Genomic DNA, 18,999 nt, shown 5'->3' with positions numbered 1-18,999 from the left:
GGGCGGCCCGCAGCGGCGGCGGCAGCGGCGGCGGCGGCTACAGCAGCTCCGCCGGCAGCCGCGGGAGCACGGCGACGCCAGCGGCGGGTGAGGGGCTCGCGGCGGCAGCGGCGGCGCGCGGGGGCGGGAGGGGGCGCGGGGCGGCTGCGCGGAGGGCGCGGGAGTTGGGGGCGGCGCCGGCGGCCGGGCTGGCGGCCCCGGGCTGCGGGAGATCCACCTGCTGGTAAAGGAGCCTACTGCGCCGCGGCCCGGCCGGAGCTCTGTGCGGGGGAGCTGTTGGCGCCTCTGGGCGCGGGGCCGGCTCCGGGAGCGGCTGGGCCTCGGGGGCGGGCGGCGGGGCGCGGGCCGGGCCGTCCTCCCAGCGTCCCTGCCCCGCACCGCGCACCCCTCGGGGTCGCGCGCCCTCTCTGCGGCCGGCTCGGCGCCTGGTGCGTTCCTGGCGCTCCCCGGCGTGGCGGGGCTCGGCGACTTTGGGGGAAAGTGGAGCAAAGTGCTGATCCGGGGGGTGCGGAGGGGGAGGGACAGCTGCCTGTGGGACCCGGGGGCTGCGCGGGAGTCGGCGCTTTCGCGGGGGCCGCGGGGCAGGTGGGCGGGGCCGGACGGTCCGAGGCGCAGGGGCAGGGGCTGCTCCCGAGGGGACCGGCCGTGCAGCCTTCGCAGGGAATTTTCACACAAAGTGAAGGGCTGCGGGGCCCGCGTGAAAGAGCAGCCCCCGTTTCCCCAGGCCTCAGCTCTCTCCGTAATGAGGAAGCTGCAGTAGGACCCTGAGGCTGGGTCTCGGTGACTCCACCAAGTGTGCCAGGTGACATCTCGGAGGCGAGCTTTTCTGAGCTGGCAGTCGAGCCACTTGCACACCCGCCTTTATTCCTCGCAACAGTGTGTTTCTCTGGAGCGGTTTCATTGCCTACATTCCGCATTGGAAAATAGAAGCAGGCACAATGTATGCTTTGAATGCTTTCCACGTATTTTGCTGTTGTGCTTTTGCTGTTGGACAGATTATTTGATAAAAGATAATGACAGTCGTTCGTTGGAACGTAGACTGTAAATTTAGAATAAAAATATGCGTTTTGTGGTTTATGTTTCTTTTTCTGAATGTTTAAAAAACAGTTTGATGAACAGGTTATCTTGACATAGATTTCTTTAACCCACACGTGTAAACCCGAAAACGCACTGGGCGATGACATTACGTAAGCTGTATTAAAGAAAACTACTGACCCGTTTATAAATGGCAAATAAATGAATTTTGCCACAATTGTGGTGTGTAAAGTTATATAGGCTTACGTCATGGATTTTATTGATTCCAGATATCAGGGATTATTGTGCCTTTCATTCTTAAGTCACCTCTACCCTGTCTGTGGGATGCTGATTAAGGAAGATGCCAAACGTTCGGCAAAGTGTTCTCAGCCGTGGACTATATTGAGTATTTCAGAGAACACTTTAAAATAAGTAAAGGTTTTGTATCCAATAATAAAATGAAGACTGAAGCCCTTAAAGGATTGCTAACAAAACAGTCTGATGTCTAGAGTTGAAAGTTCCATTCACCTTTGGGAGGGTGGAGAAATGACTAGCAATTTTAGCCACTACCTTTTTTTGTTGTTGTTAAAGATTCAAACGTGTTAGATTATAGTCTCCGAGAATATTAAGGGGCTAGATTAAAATTTTTGCAAATGTGGACACTAATAAAAATGTGGGTCACCTGTGTCTTACAAGCCAGCCTGTGAATTATGTCTCATAATTGAAGAGTGAGTAGATCCTTGGTTTTACTCTTGTCCGAAGAGTTTCTTCACTTGTGCCGTGCAGTTAAACTTATTAGCTGGGAAACCCTAATTAAAAATGTATGACTACATTCTTACTGAGTAAAACACGCATATTTTTCTTGCAAAATTTCAGGGCTTATTTGCTAGTAGAATTTATTGTAAGTATCTTCAGAGTTTCATAACTTACTGGATCCAGTATTTTTTTTTTTTCATATATTAGGGGTAGTATATCAATAGTTTACTTTGGTTTTAGAGTTCATTTACTTGTCTCTATGCATTTCTACGGAATGTTTTTACAAGCTTTATTTGTATTTAGTAAAACTTTTAAAATATCCTTAACTATATGATGTGCGCTCTACCTCCCCGTTATTATGAATTGAGTGCTTACTCTAATAACCTGTATGCTTTTTAGATCTTTTACTAGAACAAAATTCTTTCTCAAGTAAAATAGGGCTAAGTAGATAGCAGCTGAAAGTTATAAGTATTTTAATATAATGCCACACCGGGATTAATGTTCCAAGTTATATAATTCATAGAATTATCACCCGTGTTTTTATAATCAGAATTCATTATTGGGTGCTTATTGATTTAAGACAATTAGAGCAGTCTTGCTATGAAGTTTTTTTTTTTTTTCAAACTGAGTCTCTGTCACCCAGGCTGGAGTGCAGTGGTGTGATCTCGGCTCACTGCAACCTCTGCCTCCCAGGTTCAAGTAATTCTCCTGCCTCAGCCTCCCGAGTAAGCTGGGATTACAGGCACCTGCCACCACTCCTGGCTAATTTTTGTATTTTTAATAGAGACAGGGTTTCGTCATGTTGGCCAGGCTGGCCTTGAACTCCTGACCTCGGGTAATCTGCCTGCCTCAGCCTCCCAAAGTGCTAGGATTACAGGCATGAGCCACCACACCTGGCCACTGTGAAGATTTTAATTCTAAACTGTAGACGTGGGCATGTTTGATGTTAACTTGTCTTAACTGTAGAAGGTGAATAAGTTCAATCTTAGAGAACAATGATAACTTCTGCATGAGAATATTTTTAGATCTCTTTGTGTTCAGGTAGTAAAAGAGGTTAGGTGCTTCTAGAATATTATGTGGAAGGTAGAGCTGCTGTCTGAGGGTTAACAGGCATAGTTTGGTGGAGGGTTGTGGTGAGGTATTAGCCAAAAGCTACAGGAAGTGGAGATTTGTTTAAAGTTGTATAAACATACACTTTGAAAATTTCCATGAATTTTGCAACTTACTCCTTAGTAGATCAGTGTGTGTTATATAATTTATTTTTTTAATTTACACTTACAGTTGGGTATAATTCTGCAGTTTTACCTGATACTTGGAGTATCCCTGGAACTTCTCTTCATATTGCCAGGTGCAGGAGGCCTCATTTGAGAGGGAAAGTGTAGCAGCTAAGAGCTTGGACTTTGGAGACAAACAAATTCGAGTTCTTTCTCTGGATTCATTTCCTTGTGTGTAGAACAGGGTTAATAATGCCTGCCTCATAGGAACGATTTTGTGAAGATTTAAACCATGTGGTGGATCAGGCACATAGGAAACATTTCATAAGTTGTAGTGGCTGTCATTATTAGTACTATGCCCCTGTGATCTTTCTTTACTAGGGGGAATTTCTAGTAGTGTTCAGTGTTAAGAAGCAGTGGTGGTGGCAATTTCTGAATTGCCTGCAAATGGCTGCTTGAATCGGTTGTGCTCTTCCCCAGAGAGAATTTTCCCTTGGAACTGCTGGCCATTTTTCGAGGTATATTAACTCCCCCACTACAGTGTCAGTATATTACCAGGTGCATCCTGTGGCACCTCCTGAGGCTACCAGGAATCTGTTCACATCTTGGAGGGCCTGGCGTGCCTCCAGGGATTGAGACTGACCATGCATAGAGTGGACTGGAACCAGTAGCTGGCTGGTTTTGTTGTTGTTCAATTAACCAAAAAAGTTTGGTTTTTAGTACAGTTGACATTTTTTGAGAACCTATTATATGCTGAATGCTGTGCTTAAGTACTTCTAAGACTTCATTTCTTTCCCTTTTCCCAACAGCTTTGTTCGATCAGTGGTGATTTCCCAGATTTCTTGATTTAAAGCAATGCAGAGTGATAGAGCCTAAGGTGTACAGTATCCTGGCTGGATTGCTGCATTTTCTAAATGCTTAAATAGTTCCAGTTTACACCCTGGGAGTGGGTTAGTCACTGGAAAAACGACATTTATTTTATGACAGTGATAAACAGCAGTTATAACTGTAACCTTTTAATAATTTATGACAATATGTGAAAGAGGACACAGGACAGATTGTTACCTCATTTTGTGAATGAAACCTTGAGACCTAGATAAGTGGCATGCCCCAAATCATGTAAGTAATGACAGAGCTGGGTCAAGGGTCCAGGTCTTTTGACCCTTATATATTGTATTCTGTCAATTTTCTTATTAAAAAAATTTCCTATTATTGTGCAATAGGAAAACTGGAGAGAGTGAAGATTATGTTACTCAGGAACCATTGTGTGATCATTAGAGTTCTCATCTTGGAATCTGTGAGCTCCACTTTTCCCTTTAAAATCAGTCACCATAACTTTCTTTTTACAGACAAAACAAAACCAATGAGGAGGGAATATAGTTTGAAGCTGTTTTGTATTTTTTTCCAGGAGGAGAAGGACCATATAATTCCAGTATGTTAAATGAGTAGTTTCGATGTAGGGATAATCTTTATAGATGCAATTTAGCCCTGCCAAAAGTCTGTTTATAATGATGAATAGTAAATGAAGAAACTTACATTTTGCATTACCGAATGAGCTTGACTTTCTCTTTTCCCCTGAATAGGAAGGGAAAAGGCCGAGGCATCAGCGTGTGAAGACCGCAAAGACGATCCCGAGTACAGTTGTGAACAGCATTGCTGCTAGGCTCCTCCTGCAGATCATCTGAAATGAACCTCTCTTATTGATTTTTATTGGCCTAGAGCCAGGAGTACTGCATTCAGTTGACTTTCAGGGTAAAAAGAAAACAGTCCTGGTTGTTGTCATCATAAACATATGGACCAGTGTGATGGTGAAATGAGATGAGGCTCCGCAATGGAACTGTAGCCACTGCTTTAGCATTTATCACTTCCTTCCTTACTTTGTCTTGGTATACTACATGGCAAAATGGGAAAGGTAAGGAAAATGACTCGGAAAATGTGCATGAAATGTACTAGGGTTTTTGCTTGGTTAAGGTGCCTAAATGCTTAGGTCAAATACCCTGGCAATCTGCATGTTACATGCTATCTGCTGGCAGTTTCTTTCTGATATAAAAATGAAACAGTATTCTTGGACAGAGGACACAGAATTTCTAATTCCAGTGGGGCTTGTTTTGTTTTCAGTTTCTTATAATTGTACTTGGAGAAACAGATACTGATCAGTGTTTTATATTCTAAAAGACAGCCAAGTTGAATAATAAAGACTTTCGTTTTGGCATTTTGTTCTTTTTACTAAACATAATTAAGTGTTTAATAAGCTTCCTTGTACCGAGTGTTGCATAAAACACTTAAAAGGACACAATTAGTGCCTTCGTGAGATTTACATGCTAATTATGCTAATGATTGGGTGCTATGTAGTTAATGATTTAAACTGCATGCATTGACAGATTACTCCTTAGGCAAAAGTATTTAAGAAGGGATAAGTAGAAATTCTGATTGGAATATTAAAACATTTTTTAAAAATTAATTATGTTTAGACTGTTGAACCGTGTTTATATAATTTTAGGATAATGGATTTATTTGCTTTTTTTTTTTTTTAAGAGAAACTACTTGAAGTAAATTCCTACCCATACTTCTTACTTGTCTCCTTTCCTTTGATTAATCTAAGGAATGTTGATGATGAGAAGAAAGATGGAAATGTTGAGGTGGTTGCATATTTGGTTTGTTAGAATATCTGTCATCACCTGGGCTATTTGAAGCTGCTGTTGCTGATGTTGTTTTATTGACTCATGAAGACAACTGAAAAGATTGCTTTGTAACCTTATTTTTTTCTGATGTGTGTTTACATCCATGTCTATATATACATATTGCATATGTATATATCTGTATGTGCATGTATATGTTAAAAATCTGATATAAGTGAAAACATGCTCTGTGCTTTGAGCAAGTAGAGTCTTTTCCCCTTCTTTGTCTTTCTCTGAGTTGGGCTCTAATTTTGGGGGAACTCTTGGGGGAAAATGAATGAAAAACTTGCTAAGGTCCTTTTTGCTTTATATACAAATATGTACATTTTAGAATTCATGTTTTTATTGTACTAAATGAGAAGGCTTAATCAGGAGGTGCTTTGTTTTTGTTTGTTTTTGAGACAGAGTTTCACTCTGTTGCCTAGGCTAGAGTGCAGTGGCAAGACCTCGGCTCACTGCAACCTCTGCCTCCTGGATTCAGGCAATTCTTGTGCCTCAGCCACAGGAGTAGCTGGGACTACAGGCGCAGGCCATCATGCCCGGCCAATCAAGAAGTAGTTTGAATAGTTAATCAAACTATTGATTGTCCCTGACATGAACAAAACAAATGACTGGCTATTAAAAGTCTGTTTATGAAATAAGAGGGTTGATGAGCAGAAAAGTATATGGGTTTTTTTTTTTTGTAGGAAACTTACCTATTCAGAGAATTATAGTAGTGGAGAAACTTGACCCTTCTCACTGTGCCTTATTTGAAAGATGGCAAGTCTTGGAATCTCCATTTAATTTTCCTTGTTTCTTATGTAAAGGCCTTATAATAAGCATAATTATTAAGCTGTCTTTAGAATGAAAATTAATTAAAAAAATAAAGATTCTTTCTCCACGCAGTGTTAGATGCACACATACAGTCTGTTAACTTTGATCATCATTCTCTGAATAGCTCCATAATTCTTCTTTGCAAACTTCTGCTCTGATTTTCTACTTGGTGTTTTTTCCAGACTCTTCCAGGTATCAACACAGGTTTCTGGTTATGGTTACATAAAATCTTCTGTGTTAAATGTTATCGTTTCTGTAGCCACTCAAACTGTTGGGCATTTGGATTCTTTCTAGATAGTTCTGGCAGTCAGACAGCCTGGGTTTTCCAGAGAAGTCCTGATTTGAGAGACTCAATTCTAATATACCCATAAACCACGTGCTCTGATTTTTATTTTGAAAGTGTGGTTTCTATAAGCTTTGATGTTGCTAAACTAATGGTTTTTTTTTGTTGTTTTTTCATTCATTCATGGGTCCCTTACATGTACCTATCTTGCACCTAGCCCTATATTATATGCTATTAATAAGAAAAGCAATAAGTAATTTTATGCCTTTGAGCAGCTCAGGGACTGGTCAGGGAAAGATGCATGTAAACAAATTTACCATCAGATAGAGTTAGATAGAAACAATAACAGTGCTTGCCTGTAAGTGTATTATATGTATTTTAATCCTCATAACAACAATTGGAGATATTATCCCCTTTCTGTAAATGGAGAAACCAAGGCAGAGTGACTGAGAAACTTACCAAGGTCATATGTTAAGTAGTGGAGTTAAAGTTTGAATTCAGGCAGCCTCATTCAAGAGCTTATGCTCCTAGCTATTGGTCTGTTGCTCAGAAAAGCAGAAGCAGAGGCTACTAATTCTTCAGGTGCTTTACACAGGAGGTAGAATATGAAGGATGAATGTGAAGGCCAAGCCAGGCAGAGTGGGGAACACTGGGCATATCAGGTCCAGGGACCTGCGTGTGCAGCTACAAGTTCTGAAGGGGAGTAGAGTATTCATCCTTTGGAATTGTGAGATGCTCGTTAATACCAGCACATAGGACTCAGGCCCTCTCAGTGTTTAGCTGGTAATCACAGTACTGCAAGGTTCTTGTATGGATTCAAACCCCAACAGCGCACCAACAGACAACACGAGGAGGTGTGGAGCAACATGCTGTTTTAATGAGCAGGCAGGCTGAGGCCTAAAATGGTGTCAGCCCCAAGCAAGGATGGGGCAAAGGTTTTATAGTCTCCTGTAAATAAGAAGTGTCCTAGTCTGACGTAACTGCTACGTTGTACCCAGGTGACCCCTCTCTCAATCTTCAGGGGTACGTGTCTTCCGGCCGGCTCTCCTCCTGCTTCTGCTATCTTGCTGGCGCATGCTGCTGGCGCAAGTTGCACCTTGGGACTGGGCCTGAGAAGGGAGGAGTTATTCATCTCCTTAAGCTTTCAGGCCCTGGGGAGAATCTTACAAGTACAGTTCCTAGAAGTACTGCTTTGACATAGTCCTCATTCACCACTTGAAAGAATACATGAGCTGGTCCATGGGATTGGCATAAGTTGGGGAGTATCTCAGGAATCCTGCCAGGGAAGCTGTGGTGCAAGACAGAGTAACAGTTTCAGCGGGGTATACTGGATTCCCACATAAAAATGAGGCAGATTTCCAATTATGTGGAATGGACAAATTGGGACAGTTGTAGGTGGGTGTTGTGAGAGTGGGGCAGGAGTAGTTACGTGTCTGTCTTGCCAGGAGGAGCATGGCTCCTGATGGACCTCCTGCTGTGGTCAGGCGCAATCTAGACCCTGGGTGAGATTGATGAAGCAGTCACGGGTCCCTGTCCATGGGGACAGAGACTGGTATTATTTTTGCAGTGCCTGATCCAGTGATGCTTAGTAAACATGTAGTAAACATTTGTTAGATACATGATTGATTCCTTCAGCAAAAATGTATTTAAACAGTTTTAAACAGCTTGAGATATAATTTACATACTATACAATTCATCCATTTAAAGTGTACAATCAGTCGGTTTTTGGTATATTCACAGATATGTATCCATCACCACAGTCAATTTTAGAGCATTTTTATCACCTCAAAAAGAAATCCTATACCCTTTAGCTATTACTGTCCTAATCCCTACCTCCCTCCCCTCCCCTCCTAGGGGTTAGGCAACCACTAATTTTTCTGTCTCTATAGATTTCCCTATTCTGGATTTTCAGATAAATGTAATCATACAGTATGTGGTCTTTTGTGACTGGCTTTTTTCACTTAGTGTAATCTATGCAATGTTCACCCGTGTTGTGGCAGATCACTTCACAGTGGGGTTGCTTCACGTACACAGAAAGGATGTGTGCTTCCTCCCTTCTTACAGCTGAATAATAGTCCCTTGTATGGATGTACCACACTGTTTATCCATCCATCCGCTGGTGAACTTTGGGTTGTTTCTACGTTTTGGCTATTATGAATAATGCTGCTATAAACATTCAGGTACATGTTTCTGTGTGGACATGTGTTTTTATTTTTCTTGGGTATTTACCAAGGAGTGGAATTGCTGGGTCCTATCATAACTCTATTATGTTTAATCATTTGAGGAATTACCAGACTTTTTCAAAGTGATGAGACCTGTACACATTCTTATACTTTTACTTCAATCTGTTTATCTTTGAATTTACTGTGTGTCTCCTGTAAACAACATATAATTGGATCATGCTTTTTAAAATCCAGTCTGACACCCTCTGCGTTTTGATTGGGTTGCATATGCATACATACTTAATGCTATTACTAATATAACTGGATTCATTTCTGTCATCTGATTTTTTGTTTTTCCTGTGCCTTATGTCTTTTTTGTTCCTGTGTTCCTCCCTTATTGCTTTTTTTTTGCATTAATTGAATTCTAATATAGCATTTTAATTTCATTAATGACTTTTTCACTACTTTTGAGTATTTTTAGTAGTCTCTCAACAGAATCAGCTTTAGATTTATACTAGCTTAATTTTAGTAATATATAGGAGTGTTGCTCCTATGTAGGTCTGTTCCTTTTTACCCTTTTGGGGGGTATTGTTGTACTTATTACATCTGTTAATGTTGCAAACCAAACAATATATTGTTATAATTATTATTTTTATGTGTTATTATTTCCTTAGCCCATTACAGTTTTATTTCCACCTACCTCCTCTGTGCTATTACTGGCAATTATATTACTGATATATTTCCACACGTTATAGACCCAGCAATGAATTACATAAATATTTTATACCATTGACTTTTTAAATCGTTAACAGAAAGAAGAAAAAAATACATTAATAGTGTATATTCTAATTTCATAATTATTGCTGCTTTTTGTGTGGATTTGAACCACCATCTGGGGTAACTTCCTTTCAGCCTGAAGAATTTCCCTTAGTGTTTCTTATAAGGCATGTCTGCTAACAATGAATTCCCTCAGTTTTTGTTTATTTAGGTATGTCTTTATTTCACCTTTATTTTTGAAAGATAGCTTTTCTGGACATAGGATTCTTGGTTAACAAGGACTTTTGTTGGTTTTGAACACTGTGTGATTGCATTGCCTTTGTCCTCTATTATTTCTGCTGAGAAGTCAGCTATTAATCTTATGGAAGTTCCCTTGTAAGTAATGTCATTTTTCTCTTGCAGCTTTCAAGATTTTCTTGTGTTTGACTTTTTTCATTTCCACCATGTGTTTGTGGGTCTCTTTTATTGACCCTGTTTGGAGTCTGTTGAGCTTCCTGGATGAATAGCTTATTGTTCTTCAGTAAATTTGGGAAGTATTAAGTCATTATTTCTTTGAATTATTTTCTTCTCCTTTCTCTCTCCTTTCCTTCTGGTATTCCCATTACACATGTGGTGGTGTGCTTATTGGTGTTCCACCTTTCTCTGAGGCTGTGTTCATTTTTCATTTTTTTCTCCCTCTTGAGCTTATATAATCTCTACCGACCTGCCTTCAAGTTTGCTAATTCTTTCTCCATTGTGTACAAATCTATTCTTGAGGCATGTATTAGTTAGGGTTCATCAGAGAAACAGAACACACACACACACACACACACACTCAAACACATGTGCACGCACACACAAGATTTATTATAGGAACTGGCACATGTGATTATGGAGGCTGAGAGGTCCTAGAATCTGCCGCCTGCAAGCTGGAGAACCAGGAAAGCTGGTGGTGTAATTCAGTCTCAGTCCAAAGGCCTGAGGATAAGGGAGCCAATGGTGAAAGTCCCAGTTCAAGTTCAAAGGCCCGAGGACCAGCTGGGCTGATGTCTGAGGGTGGGATATCCTAGCTCAGACCAGAAACAAAGTTGCCCTTCCTCCACCTTTTTGATCTACTCAGGCTCTTAGTAGATTGGACGATACCCACCCACATTGGTGAGGGTCATGTTCTTTCCTCAGTCTACAGATTCAAATACTAATCTCATCTAGAAATACCTTCACAGACATATCCAGAAATAATGTTTTATCAGCTGTCTGGGCATTCCTTAGCCCCGTGAGATTGACACATAAAATTAACCATCACAAGGTCCTCTAGTGAATTTTTACTTCTATTGTACTTTTCAACTCCAGAATTTCCATTTCGTTCTTTCTTAAAATTTCTCTCTTCTTATTAATAGTTTATATTTGATGCCACTTTGTCATACCTTCTTTTACTTCTTCAATTAAATTTTCTTTTAGTTCTGTGAGTTTATTTATAATGGCTGATTTGAAATCCTTTTAAAAATAAATCCTGGCTGGGCATGGTGGCTCATGCCTGTAATCCCAGCACTTTGGGAGGCTGAGGCAGGTGGATCGCCTGAGGTCAGGAGTTCGAGACCAGCCTAGCCAATATGGCAAAATCCCATCTCTACTAAAAATAAAAAATTAGCTGGGCGTGGTGGTGGGCACCTGTAATCCCAGCTACTGGGGAGGCTGAGGCAAGGAGAATTGCTTGAACCCAGGAGGCGGAGGTTGCAGTGAGCCGAGATCGCCCCCACTGTACTCCAGTCTGGGTGACAGAGCTAGACTCCATCTTAAAAAATAAAAATAAATAAATAAATCCAACATCTAGTTCATCTAGTTGTACTCACAGGCAGTTTCTGTTACCTGCTTGGTTTTTTTTCCCCGTTTGGTGTATTGGTTGTATTTTTCTGTTTCTTTGCACATCTCATAATTTTTTTATTGGAAACTGGACATTTTAGAGAAATGTATTTTAGCAACCTGGGGTACTAAGGTCCCCTTCACCTGTTGTTATTTGCTGGTTTATTTGTTTAGTGGCTGGCCGCAGCTTCAGCTCTTGGTTTGCCCACACTCACCCTGGGATACCCCTTTACTCTTTCTAAGACTCCTACACTAATTACCAGCTGATTGTTTTATTGTTTACACCAATGCCCTGGGGCATAAATTCTGCTACAAACTAAATGGTGGTTCCTTTTTTTTCTTTTCCACCTATAATGTATTCTATGATAAAATTGTGATTCCTTTGAAGAAATAGTTTCTAAGGTCAGTGTCCGATATTTTTCTGACCCCAGGAGGACTCCTTTCCACCTCTTTTGCAGGTTCTCTCCTGCAAGCTAGCTCCCACACTCTAGGCCGTATCTTCACTAGATCCACAATTCTCCCCATTCTCTCACCACAAGCCCAAAATTCTCCAGGCGCTGTTGCAAATGAAGCCCCTTCTTTGGGAAGAGATCAGGAACTGTTTTATGGTACCAGGCAGGATTTCTGAGTCTTGAGGTGGGACTGAGGATAATGACAGGTTTTTCTCTGAGTGGCAGCCCCACTCTAGGGGCTGAGCACTAAGTGGAGGGGCCAAGAGGTTGAGGTTCTTGTGGCTGTGCTATTCCAGGGGTGGAACCACTGCCTTACAAGCCCAGGAAGGGCTGTCAGGGCCCTAATATTCTCAGCACACTGCATGCACCCAATGTAGAGCCTGCATTCCATCAGCAGGGGTTGGGTAGAGTAAGAGAGCCCCCACATCTCAATTGCACTTGCCTGGGACTTAACCTTAGCTACAGGCATTTGGGGGCAGCAGGAGAAAAGTTGAAGTCCTGCTTCTCCCAGGATGAAATCCTGCAGCTTGGAGCTGGAGAGCAAAGGGAGCCCTGTGTTCTTGGCTGCTGTAGTCTGGAGTGAGGTCTCTACCTCACTGGTTGGGGAGAAAAGAGGGGGGAATGATCTTGGTTCAAATACTGTGCTCTCAGCTTTCTCACTGAATTTTTATAGATTTTCTCATATAGGCATTTATTCATGTGCTATTTGTCCTTGAGACAGTTTTCAGGTCCTGTTAAGAGGTTTTTAAAACAATAATTTTCACTAGTTTCACTTCACAGGGGATCAGCAGAGCTTATGCTGTTGCGTTGGAAGTGGAGCTCCAAAAATATTTTGAAAATGCTTTATTCATTACCAGATTTCATCAAATTTAATACACCATTAGATGCACCATGATTGTAAAGTACTGCTAAGCAGGAAAAGCAGCTGCTGATTAAACTGACATGCCATCACGTGTAAGAGTCACCTTGATTTCAGATGTTGAAATATGGGAGAAAATGTGTACCTTTGAATCAGTAGACTACAGTATATTCTGAGAAAACACTTACTGCAAGAAAAGATCAGATTCATATCCTGTTAGCTATAACAGAAACACCAGACGAAGCATTTTATTGGAAACTATGATTCTTATTTGTAAATAAACAGTGAATAAAAGTTTTTAGATTTGTTTTTCTTTACAGAATAAGCAAAGCTGCTTTCAAATACGATATAAGGAAAATTAATACTAAGTCTAGGACTTGGAATACGCCGTCATCATTCTGGCTTACCAAAATTGTCGACCTGTGTTTTTTGAGTGCCTTCGGCATGCCAGGCACTGTTTGTGGTCTGGGATGCATTAGCATTAGAACATGTTAGAGGAATATCCTTGCCGTAGTGTAGGAGAGGAGGGAGGAGAGAGCTGCAGAACAGTAAAACAGTAAATTAAACAGTAAGTTGAACAGCAGTAAATGTTTTTAAAAACTTTATTATGAAATACTTTTAGAGTTACAATAAATGTACAAAAATAGTACACAGATTTCCCTTATACCTATCCTCCCCCAATATTAACAACTTATATATAATCAGAGTAGTATAATTTTCGAAACCAAAAGATTAATTTTGATTTAAAATTATTAACTAATCTACAAACCTTATTTGAATTTCACCAGAGTTCCCACTAATGTCCTTCTGTGCCAGAGTCCAATCTAGGATCCCATGGTGCGTTTAGTTGTCATGTCCTCCTACTTTCTTCCAGTATGCAAAATTTCCTCCATCTTTTTTTTTTTTTTTGAGATGGAGTCTCGCTATGTTGCCCAGGCTGCAGTGCAGTGGCACGATCTCGGTTCACTGTAACCTCCACCTCCCACGTTCAAGCGATTCTCCTATCTCGGCCTCCCTGGTAGCTGAGATTACAGGTGCCCTCTACTATGCCTGGCTAATTTTGTATTTTTAGTAGAGATGGGGTTTCACCATGTTGGCCAGGCTGTTCTCAAACTCCTGACCTCAGGTGATCTGCCCGCCTCGGCTTCCCAAAGTGCTGGGATTACAGGTGTGAGCCACCATGCCTGGCCCTTTCTTTGTCTTTTATGTCCTCGACATTTTTGTGGAATGCCCCTTAATTTGAATTTGCCTGATGATTTATCTGGTTAGATTGAGGCACCGTCGGCCCTCTGTATACACAGATTCAGCCAACCACAGATGGAAAATGTGGTTAGGTCCACAGTGTTTGTGTCTGTACTGAACATATACAAACTGGTTTTTTTTGGTCATTATTCCCTAAAAAACACAGTATAACAACTATTTATCTAGCATTTACATTGTATTAGATATTTTAAGTAATCTAGAGATGATTTAAAGTATACAAGAGGCTGTGTGTAGGTCATATGTAAATACTGTGTCATATATCAGAGACTTGAGCATCTGCAGATTTTGGTATCCTCAAAGATACTGGAACCTATCCCCCATGGATAGCAAGGGACAACTCTAATGCATTTTTGGCAAGAATACCACAGAAATGATGTTGATGTTATGTCCTTTCTTTTCTGAGATGGAGTTTCGCTCTGTAGCCCAGGCTGGAGTGCAGTGGTGCAATCGACAATCTTGGCTCACCGCAACCTCTGCCCACTGGGTTCAAGCAATTCTCCTGCCTCAGCCTCCTGAGAAGCTGGGATTACAGGTGCACCCCACCACACCCAGCTAAGTTTTGTATTTTTAGTAGAGACAGAGTTTCTCTATGTTGTCCAGGCTGGTCTCAAACTCCTGACCTCAGGTGATCTACCCGCCTTGGCCTCCCAAAGTGTTAGGATTACAGGCGTGAGCCACCACGCCCAGCTACCTTGTTTTTTGAAACTGGGTCTCACTCTGTCACACAGGCTGGAGCGAAGTAGTGTGATCATGGTTCACTGCAGCCTTGACTTCCTGGGCCCAATCAGTCACCCTCACCTCAGCTTCTGAAGTTGAGGGAAGGCCCACAGGCATGCACTACCATGCCCGGCTAATTGCAAAAATTTTTTGTAGAGACAGGGTCTCACTGTGTTGTCCAGGCTGGTCTCGAACTCCTGGGCTCAAGTGATCCTCCTGCCTCAGCCTCCCAAACTGCTAGAATTACAGGCATGAGCCACCGCACCCTGGCTGTATTCTTCAGTTAGCACATTATATCAGGAGGTGTGTGATGTTGATGTGTCTTGTTACTGGTGATGTTTGCTTCGATCACTTGGTTGAAGTGGTGTCTGACAGGCTTTTCCATTGTAAAGTTACTATTTTTGCCATTGTAATTAATAAGCATTTTGTGGAAGCCAATATCCTGTTTCTTATCATACTTTTACCTACAAACGTTAACATCCTTTGATGATTTTTGCCTGCAGCAATTTTTTTAAACTTTTATTTTAAGTTCAAAGGTACAAGTGCAGATCTGTTGCATAGGTAAACTTGTGTTACGGGGTTTGTTGTAAAGATTATTTCATCACCCAGGTATTATACCCATTAATTATTTTTTCTGATCCTCTCCCTCCTCACACCCTCCACCCTCCAAAAGGCCCCAGTGTGTGTTGTTTCCCTCTGTGTGTCCATGTGTTCTCATTTAGCTGCCACTTATGAGGACATGGGGTATTTGGTTTTCTGTTCCTGCATTAGTTTGCTAAGGATAATGGCCTCCAGCTCCATCTGTGTCCCTGCAGAGGACATGATCTCGTTCTTTTTTTATGACTACCTGCAGCAATTCTTACTGTGGTGTTTTCCAAATGTAACTTTCTGTTTCCATCATTCATTCTGTACTTATTAGTTAATTGGAATTCCACTGTAAGGAAGAGATGTCTCTTCTCCCTCATTTCTTTTTTTTTTTTTTTTTTTTTTGAGATGAAGTCTAGCTCTGTCACCCAGGCTGGAACGCAGTGGCACAATCTTGGCTCACTGCACCCTCTGCCTCTCGGATTCAAATGATTCTCGTGCCTCCACCACCTGAGTAGCTGGGATTACAGGCATGCGCCACCATGCCCTGCTACTTTTTTTTGTATTTTTAGTAGAGATGGGTTTCACCGTGTTGGCCAGCCTGGTCTTGAACTCTTGACCTCAGGTGATCCACCTGCCTCAGCCTCCCAAAGTGCTGGGATCACAGGCTTGAGTCACCACGCCCAGCCCTCCTTCATGTATTTCTTTCTTATTTCTTTACATAAGTATGAACTCATGGATATTTATTTAATTCTGGGGTTATGGTCCTTTATTACAGTAACTTATTTTGTTGTTTAAATTGTCTCAGAGGTGGCCATTAGGAGCTTCCTCAAGTTGGCTTCTGAGCCTTTTGTTGTGCCCCTATCATTTTTTTCAAATTTATTGAGGTGAAATTAACATAACGAAATTAACCCTTTTAAAATAAACAATTTAGTACATTCACAATGTTGTGCAACTACCACCTCTATCTAGTCTCCATCATTTTTAGAGCCATTTTTTCCTTTCTGGTGCCATAGCATGCTCCAGGCTTGTCCTGTATTTTCTCTACCCCTGTCCTGGAAGCAATCATTTTTCCAAGGAGCCTGTAGTTCCTTTGGAGAATAGAGTCTTGCTGTGCTCATTCCTACCGTGGCATCATCTTTCCAGTCCCTCTCAGTGCACAGAGCAAGGGGATACATGTGTGCGTGCATAGCATCCTCAGCTATTTCCACGTCCACCTGCGTTTCTTGAATTCCTAGTGATCCCTTGGATTTTAATTGAATACTGTGGTGTCCATGCTAGTCTCCTCTTTTCCTCATTTGTAAGTCCTGCCTCCGACAGTAAAAAATATGGCTCTGGCAGGATGCGGTGGCTCATGCCTATAATCCCAGCACTTTGGGAGGCTGAGGCAGGTGGATCACTTGAAGTCAGGAGTTCGAGACCAGCCTGGCCAACATGGTGAAACCCCATCTCTACTAAAAATACAAAAAATTAGCCGGGCATGGTGGATGTGCCTGTAGTCCAGCTGTTTGGGAGTCTGAGACACAGGAATAGCTTGAACCCGGGAGGCGAAGGTGGCAGTGAGGTGAGATCGCGCCACTGCACTCCAGCCTGGGTGACAGAGCGAGACTCCGTCTCAAAGAAAAAAAAATATGGCTCTTACTATCCCAATATAGTTGCTTATGCTCAATCCCAGTATATATGTACAGTAGTTTCAGAATTCTAACCCATACACAAATGAAAAGTAAATTTACTAGGGTTCAATATTTGTGCACAGTTCTTTTTGTATTTAGTCTTGTAATATACAGATGCTATTTTCTAAAGTTACTTAGGTTACATTTTAGTCACTTCCTCTTCCGTGTGGTTATGTTATTTATTTATAATCTGTTAGGTCAATATATTACTGTTTGTATTCTGTTTTGGGTTTCTCCCATGTCATGCTAATTGCAATTATTTACATTTTGGATATGTGAAACATGTTGGTTCTGAGTCAGAACAGTAAAAAAGGTATGCTGAGAGATGTGTCTCTTCTCATTCCTCCTGTCCCATTTCTATTCCTTCCTTGTTTCTACCCATCCATCCCTTGTAGGTGTTCAGTCTCACTATTTTCTGATTTATGCTTCCTGGATTTCTTTTGTATTTTTAGTGTAGACAGGGTTTCGCCATGTTGGCCAGGCTGGTCTGGAACTCCTGACCTCAAGTGATCCACCTGTCTCAGCCTCTCAGAGTGCTGGGATTACAGATGTGAGCCACTGTGCCTGGCCTACGGGTTTGTTTGTTTTTTTTTTTTTTTAAGATTAGATTTAGCCTTAATTTTTTTATTCAAACCACGGTAAAGCAAGAATTTAGTTTTTGGGAGAAAACTCTAGTTGCCAATTATGTTGTAAACATGAAAGTCTGGGGATAGAGTTGATTTGATTAACATTTAGATTTAAATAACTTATTTGGGAAAAGTAGATTCTGTATCTTTTTTTGCTGAAGTATATTTTGCATGTCTATTAATATTTACTTTTCAAAACCTAAAGATAAACGGCTTTTTTTTTTTTTTTTTTTTTTTTGAGACATGATCTTGCCCTGTTGCCCAGGCTGGAGTGCTGTGGTGTGATCTCGGCCCACTGCATCCTCCATCTCCAGGCTCACTGCAGCCTCTGGGCTCAAGCAATCCTCCCACCTTAACCTCTTGACTAGCTGGGACTACAGGTGTGTGCCATCACACCAGGCTAATTTTTTAAAAATGTATTTTTAGTAGAGGTGAGGTCTCACAGTGTTGCCAAGGCTGCTCTCAAACTCCTGAGCTCAAGCAATCCTCCCACCTCAGCTTGCTAAAGTGCTGGGATTACAGGCATGAGCCACTGTGCCTGGCCCAAAAGGGCATTTTTTAAGAAGCTCTGTTCTGTGTATTTCCACTAGGAAGCTAGAAAGTAACTTAAAGCAAATTATAGTCAGTATTCATTTGGTAAAGTTTGTTTCCAGCTTAAATAATAGTAAATGTTCACATGTCAGGGTTTTGTCTTCCCTCCACAGTTGAGATGAGATAATATGATTTTCTAACCAAGATGAGGGGTTGGCGTGTGAATCCGTCTTCAGTTCAGCAGGTTTAGATATTTATTGCATTCAGAGCAGTTTCTCTTAAGTAATGTTTTAAGTATAAGAAAGATGTAAAAAGTGCACAAATCATAAGTGTACAGCTCTATGAGTTGTCACAAAGGGGCACACCTGTGTAACAAACTCCAGAAGTACAACATTTCAGCATTTACCTGTCTTTCCTGTATTTTGGTGCACATATTGGTACACAACTATTTCAGTTGTCGGGTCAGCAGCTTTTTAAAAAGGAGTCTTTCTCATGGTGCATCTCTGAAGGACCCAGACAAGTGATGAGAATCAGTAGTGTTACTCATGCATTCATGGAGGTGTGAACACAGTGCTATGATAGCACTGGGGTAAAAACAGCACATTCAGATGAGGGATTCTGGAAAGGATTCTCACAAGAAGCGGTGTTGGAGTTGGTCTGAAAAGAAGATAGGAATTTAATGGGGGAGAAAGGTATTCGCTGTGTTAATAGGGAAGGTGGATGTTGGATTGAACCAAGGAGTGGGCACGTGTAGTGT

General features: G+C 41.5%; 1 protein-coding gene across 1 annotated transcript in view; it reads left to right on the top strand.

Moving 5' to 3' along the window:
• MGAT4A (alpha-1,3-mannosyl-glycoprotein 4-beta-N-acetylglucosaminyltransferase A) overlaps positions 3-18,999 on the top strand; it is a 112,027-nt gene continuing 93,030 nt past the window's right edge. The window contains exons 1-2 of the mRNA NM_012214.3: positions 3-87; positions 4,568-4,896. Of these exons, the coding sequence (NP_036346.1) occupies positions 4,803-4,896 (94 nt within the window). The 5' untranslated portion in view covers positions 3-87; positions 4,568-4,802. The remainder of the gene's footprint in view (positions 88-4,567; positions 4,897-18,999) is intronic.

This window comes from Homo sapiens, chromosome 2, assembly GCF_000001405.40.
Source record: "Homo sapiens chromosome 2, GRCh38.p14 Primary Assembly".
Lineage (NCBI taxonomy): Eukaryota > Metazoa > Chordata > Mammalia > Primates > Hominidae > Homo > Homo sapiens.
Note: the sequence above shows the minus strand (reverse complement) of the source record. Positions and strands in the feature narration are given on the sequence as shown.